We start from the raw sequence: 6,810 nt of genomic DNA, 5'->3' as shown, positions 1-6,810 counted from the left end.
TTTCTTTATGCTTGTATCCCAAAGATTTTCTCCTATGTTTTGTCTAAAAGTCTTGTAGTTTTACATTTTACATTTAAGACTATTATCTATTTTGAGTTAATTTTTGTGTAAGGTGTGAGACTTAGGTTTAGTTTATACACTTCTTTATTACAATAACTGTCTTTTATCAGTTGTAGATAAATCTTGGCTATTATATCTTCAAATATACCTTTCCCCTATTTTCTCTCTTTACTTTCTATGACTGGAGTTACATGAATGTAAGAAATCACACTGTTGCATTTATTTCTGATGGTCTTTTTTGTAGTTTGCACTTTCCCATTTCTCTGTGCTTCTGTTTTCTACTTATCTACCTTCCTTTTCTTATACCAGCAGCTCTGTTTACCTTTTTAAAAAATAATGCTCACTCTTCCTTTTATTCATACTGTCTTTCTAGGATTATTTTCCTTCTTCCTGAAGTACATAATTTAGTAGTCCCTTTAGGGCTAGTATGTTGATAGTCTCTCAATTTTCCTTAAAATTTTTATTTGCCCACATAGCTTTTCTGAGACAAGGTCTTGCTCTATTGCTCAGGCTGGAGTGCAGTGGGATGAGATCGTAGCTCACTGCAGCCTCAATCTCCTGGGCTCAAATGACCCTTCTGCCTCAGTGTCATGAGTAGATGAGACTACAGGTGCCTTCCATCATGCCCAGCTGACATTTGTATTTTTTGTAGAGATGAGTGCCCCATTATGTTTCCCAGGCTGGTCTTGAACCCCTGGCCTCAAGCAGTCCTCCCACCTCAGCCTCCCAGATTGCTGGGATTACAGACCTGAGCCACCACACCTGGCCTGCTCATAGTCTTGCAGTTCAAGAATGGCAGTTATTTTCTCTCAGCACTTTATATTATAGGTATTTTTCCACTGTTTTCCAGCTTCCACTGTTGCTGCTGAGAAGTCTGCCATCAGTATAACTGTTTTCCTTTGTAGGTGAGCTTTCTTTTCTCTCTTGCTTCTTTTAAAATTATTTTTTGGGCTGGGCATTGTGGCTCTTTTAAAATTATTTTTTGGGCTGGGCATGGTGGCTCACACCTGCAATCCCAGCACTTTGGGAGGCCTAAGCGGGCAGATCACCTGAGGTCAGGAGTTTGAGACCAGCCTGGCCAACATGGTGAAACCCCATCTCTACTAAAAATACAAAAATTAGTTGGGTGTGGTGGTGCACACCTGTAACCCCAGCTACTCTGGAGGCTGAGGCACAAGAAATCACTTGAGCTCAGGAGGGAGAGGTTGCAGTGAGCCAAGATGGTGCCACTGCATTACCGTCTGGGCGACAGAGCAAGACTTTTTCTCAAGAAAAAAAACATATATATATATATATATATATATATATATATACATACACACATATATATTTGACATCTGCAAGTTCACCTTGAAGTTATTGTGGATTTCTTTTTATTAAGCTACTTGGGTTACTTTATGCTTCCTAAATTTGAATTCATATCATTCACTGTGAAAAAAATGCATCAAAAATACTAAAATAGTGCCACTTTGTGCTTTTCTCTATTTCCTTTTTCTAGGACTAATTAAACATATTGCAATATTGATAAACATTATTCTATTTCCAATGTTTCTGTTTTATTTTTAAAATATTGTTCATCTCATTCTTCTGTGATTCAGTCTAATTTCTTCAGCAAAATATGTTAATTTTATTTTTAGCTTTATCTCATCTGTGTAGCTCATTCATTAAAATTTCAACAACTATGTTTTTTTCTTTCTCAAAGATCCATTTGGTTGTTTTCAGAACTTTTTTGTCATTCCTGATAGATACCTGTTGCTTCCTCATCTTTCTAATTTCATCCTTTTTCTTATTAAAAATGTTTGTATTCTGAATCTAACAATTGTAAATATCTGAATTCCTTGGGTGTTCAATGGTGGCTTGCTTCTTCACGTGCCTGGTCATCTCTAATTTTGTACTTATATTTATTCCATCAATCTGTGATATTTCTAAAGTAAGATGCTTTCCCTCAGTAAGGATTTCCATCTGTTTCTGCCAAGAGACAAAGTATGCTACCATTTTAGTTTCTTTAAGGAGTCCCAGCTTAATGTAGTATCCAGTTTGGTTTCCTTTCCTTTTTGTGGGCCTATAGGTAAAGATTACAATTCAAACTTCTGCTTTGGGCATTTGTTTTCATGGCTAATTTGCTTCCCAGGTTTACTTACCACTCAAATTACCATGCCTGAGTCTAGCTGATGATTGGTATCCCTACCAATCCTCATCCTCCGCCCCCACCCTCTGACTTATTTTGGTGTCAAGGAAAATTCCTTAGATATTTTTCCCATTTTCTGTCATCCTAGGAATGCAGTAAAAATCTATTTAGAACTAATTTTGAGGGGATCATAAAAATATCTGAGTATCTAGGTCACCAAAGTGATGAAAGCTGCAATCATACATCACTCTGTTACATGGAAAGACAGAAAAAAAGAAAAAAGGCCAGCTTGGAATCTGAAGACTGCTTTCAAATAAAATCACTGCCTTTCATTAATTCGTTCATTCATTCTGATTCAAACTTACAGGGATTTATGTACCAAATGCTTTATTAAGGGAGAAGAAAAGGAGCATGTCTCTACCCTCTGGAGGTCTAGGCAAGGTTACAGATACTAAACTAATAGGCTAACAAATATATATATAATTACAGATAGTGATGAATGTTATAACCGGTGATAAAAGAGGAAGTTGGATAGTAACTTTATATTTAAGCTTAAACCTGAAGTGAAAGAGCCAGCCACGATGAGAGAGAAGATAAGAGCATTAAACACAGAAGCAATAGTATGTGCCAAAGTCTTGAGGCAAAAAATATTTTGGTGTTTGACAAACTAAAAAATAGTTCTATATAGCTATAGTATAGGGAGTGAGAGTGAAAGTGGTAGGGGATGCAGTCAAAGAGATAGGAAGAGGGCAGGCTATGCAGGGCATTGTATGCAATGATAATGTATTACATTTTATGTGGAATTGGAGGCCATTGAAAGATTTTATGCTGGAAAGTGGATTAACCTGTTTCATGTTTTGAGATCACTCTGGCTATTCTGTGGAGGATCCAATGTTAAAGTCAAAAGTCCCTGGAATCAGGTAGACCAGTTCAGAGTCTATTGTGGCTTGAGCTTGTGTGATGATAGTAGAGATGGAGATAAGTGGATGGTTTCAAAATATATTCTGGTGAGAGAACAGGAGATGTGTTTTTTTGAGTAAGCAAAGTGGCTCTGCAGAAGATCACATACATAACTGGACAAGCGACTTTAACTTGTATCTGAAAGACTATCATCTCACTACAGCTTTCTTGGTGATAGAGCCCTCTTGAGCTTCTTTAGATATGTGTCAAAATGTCAAACTGAATATTGATGGAGCCAGCACAGGTAGAGAGCTGTAGGAAAAAACCGTGATCTTTCTTTAGTTAGAGGGGAATCCAAAATAGTTAAAATGTGAATGGCCAAATACTTACTGCTTATCTCAGTTTTCTGATGAGTTACTATAATGAAATAATCTAGTCCAGAAATAAATGACTTGTCTTGGGCTTGCTACGCAAAAGAAGAAAAAAATGCTATTAAAAAAGTTATTAGCCAATGGCTGCATATAATAGAATATCTATCTAACAGTATTATTATGAGTTTATTTTTCTGACATATAAGAAGACTGAGAGAAGATGGTTACTGGTAATGGTTCAGTAGTTCAATAATGTCCGGGTTGATGTCTACAATTTTCTTGCCTTTCTCTTATGCTACTGAGAATAGCTTTCTCATGATTGGTTTGAACCCGCAATAATTTATCATTACCTTTTTTATAATCAAGATATTTTTTAAAGTAAGAAGAAAGGAGAAAATGGGTTTTGGGTAATTAACAGAGTTCTGAACAACAACCTAGATTTAAGAATTTTAGACAAAGGTATAGAACAAGACCATGCTACTTTATAGTTTTCAAACATAAAGGTTTTTAGAAGTTAACAGTAATGAGTTATTGATATGAATTATAAGTTTAAAAACACCTATTAACCTAGAAAATATTTAATGAATATTTAATAATCATTACATTGAAAAATTCATCCAATAAATATTTGAGCCTATGCATATGCATAGCACTGTACTAGGCCTTAGGAGAGATGTAAAAACATGATATGCACCTCCTGCCTTCAAGAAACTCCTAAACAATAATTTTTGGTATTACATTTTATATTTTATAACACTCTCTCATAGGCGTTCTTTCTTTTGAAATTTATAACTCCATGCATTAGGCAGATAAAATTTTTACCTGATGAAGAAGTTGAGACAGACCCTGCTCTTGTCTCTCTGGCCATTACCACTTCAACATTGATTTCTTGACCTGAGGGCTTTCTCCAAAGCTGTGGAAGGCAGCTCTGTCCCTATGTGATCAGGGCAATTTGGAAATGCCTGGGAATTAACAAACTCCCACTCTAGCAGCCTTCACCAAGTGACTGGAAAGATTTGTTATATAGATACCCCAGCTCACTTGGCCTTCAGATGGGATAACTTTGAGGCCTGTGTTTTCCCAGAGTTTTCTCATGGGATTATGCTCCAGTCATTATAAGTGGTATCTGGCTTGATACCGCACCCTTTATTGACTGTTTTCCCTTCTTTGTCTCGCTTCCCCACCTCCTACTGGTGTTTCCTGCATCTCTTAGATAAACTATTTGCAACAAAATCCTTGTCTCAGGTTTCTATTGAGCATTTCCACTAGGTTATTTCCCCTAATACCTGCCCTGAAAGTGCCTGGCTTAATGAGGGGGGCACACGATTCAAATCAAGCCAGTTGGAATCCTTCACAGGGAAATTTTGTCCAGTCTGAAATACTGAGAAAGGAACTCTCTTCCTTCATCCTTGTTTCATTTTGGTTTTGCATCATTCTATTTCGAGTAGTGTCCGGCACAACGTAGAAACTTAATCTTTCTGGAATATTTAATGAATCCAATTCCTACAATTTCTTTCCTGCCAACTTGCATTCATCATCAGCCATTAATTTTAAAATGTATGAAATAATGTTGCTATAGCATATCATAGTGTCACTGCATACTGTAGTAGTTAAGTGCATGGACTCAGGAGCTAGACTGCTTGAGATATAAACTCTGCCACTTGCCAGTTGTTTGACTGTGCTGGTTATATTTCTGTTGTCTGTCAGTTCCATTCTCATTCTTTTACTCTCTCTATATTACAGAGTACTGGAATTCTAAATATCATTTCCCAGATTCACTTGCCAATTTCTTTCCGGTTCAGTTCTGTTAATGGGAGATTCAAGGCCAAGAGGATGGAAGGCATTTTTGCTTTTCTTCTGGCTCCGGCCTCTGCAATGCTGTGCTCTACTACCCTGACTCCAGGAGTGGCCCGAATAGGGTGAAGGATGCATAATCCTCAATTATGCGTAAGTGCATTTTTTCAGTCTAATTAGAATTCCAGGCTTTAAAATTAGATGTATATTTTGAAAAGTATATCTGAAAATTTCATAGTTTGTGAATATATTTTTAAATACAGTCAAAATACTAAGCACAGTAACAACACGATTTAGAGGACAAAGTTGTAAATATGCCACCTTTATATTTATAAGAGTATTTACACAAGAATTTGCAGTTTTAAGTCGTTATCAATCATTGAGTTGATATAAGGTCAATATAGTATTAATATATCACCTACACAAAAGCAGATAAAAAGTTATTTTCAGCAGGGCATGATGGCTCACACTCGTAATCCTAGCACTTTGGGAGGCCAAGGCAGGTGAATCACTTGAGGTCAGCCTGGCCAACATGGTGAAACCCCACTTTACCAAAAATACAAAAATCAGCCGGGCATTGTGGCGCATGCCTGTAATCCCAGCTGCTTGGGAGGCTGAGGAAGGAGAATCACTTGAACCTGGGAGGCGGAGGCTGCAGTGAGCTGAGATTGTGCCACTGCACTCCAGCCTGGGCAACAAAGTGAGAGTCAGTCTCAAAAATTTACAAAAGGATGATTTCCTAATATGAAAGTGACAGATATTCATCTGAATATGGGCCAAATGAACATTTCTATTACAATTCAAGAACTACAGGCTGGGCGCGGTGGCTCACACCTGTAATCCCAGCACTTTGGGAGACTGAGGCAAGTGGATCATGAGGTCAAGAGATCGAGACCATCCTGGCCAACATGGTGAAACCCCGTCTGTACTAAAAATACAAAAATTAGCAGGGCGCAGTGGCACGTGCCTGAAGTCCCAGCTACTTGGGAGGCTGAGGCAGGAGAATTGCTTGAACCTGGGAGACAGAGGTTACAGTGAGCCAAGATTGCGCCACTGCACATCCTGGGTGACAGAATGAGACTCTGTCTCAAAGAAAAAAAAAAAAAGAACTGCAGAGACTCTTATGGTGTCAATTTAAATCTACTTATTCTTCCTACCTTTTTTGCCATCGTTGTCATAGATTCTACTTGTCCAGTTTATAAAAATCCACAAGACATTATTATTGCTGTTTTAAGAAGGTAATACTCTTTTAAAATTTACATAATTACCCTTGATTATGCTTTTTTCCTCCTTCTAAGGATTTGAGATTATTTTCCTTAAGTAGGATTCCTGGCAGGGAATTCTCTCAACTTCTGTTTGTCAAGAAACATCTTTATTTTGCTGTAATTCTTGAAAGCTTTTTCCCTGGATATGGAACTTGAGGTTAGCAATTTTTTTTTTTTCCTTCAGCGATCTAAAGATGTCATTCAATAGGATTCTGGTTTCCCTAGTTCTGTTGAAGAATCAGCATTTAGACTTAACTGTTGCTGTTTTGAATTTATTTTTCCTTTTTCCTCT

This window comes from Homo sapiens, chromosome 4 (assembly GCF_000001405.40).
Source record: "Homo sapiens chromosome 4, GRCh38.p14 Primary Assembly".
Lineage (NCBI taxonomy): Eukaryota > Metazoa > Chordata > Mammalia > Primates > Hominidae > Homo > Homo sapiens.
The sequence above is the reverse complement of the archived record's forward strand: the minus strand, read 5'-3'. Positions refer to the sequence as shown.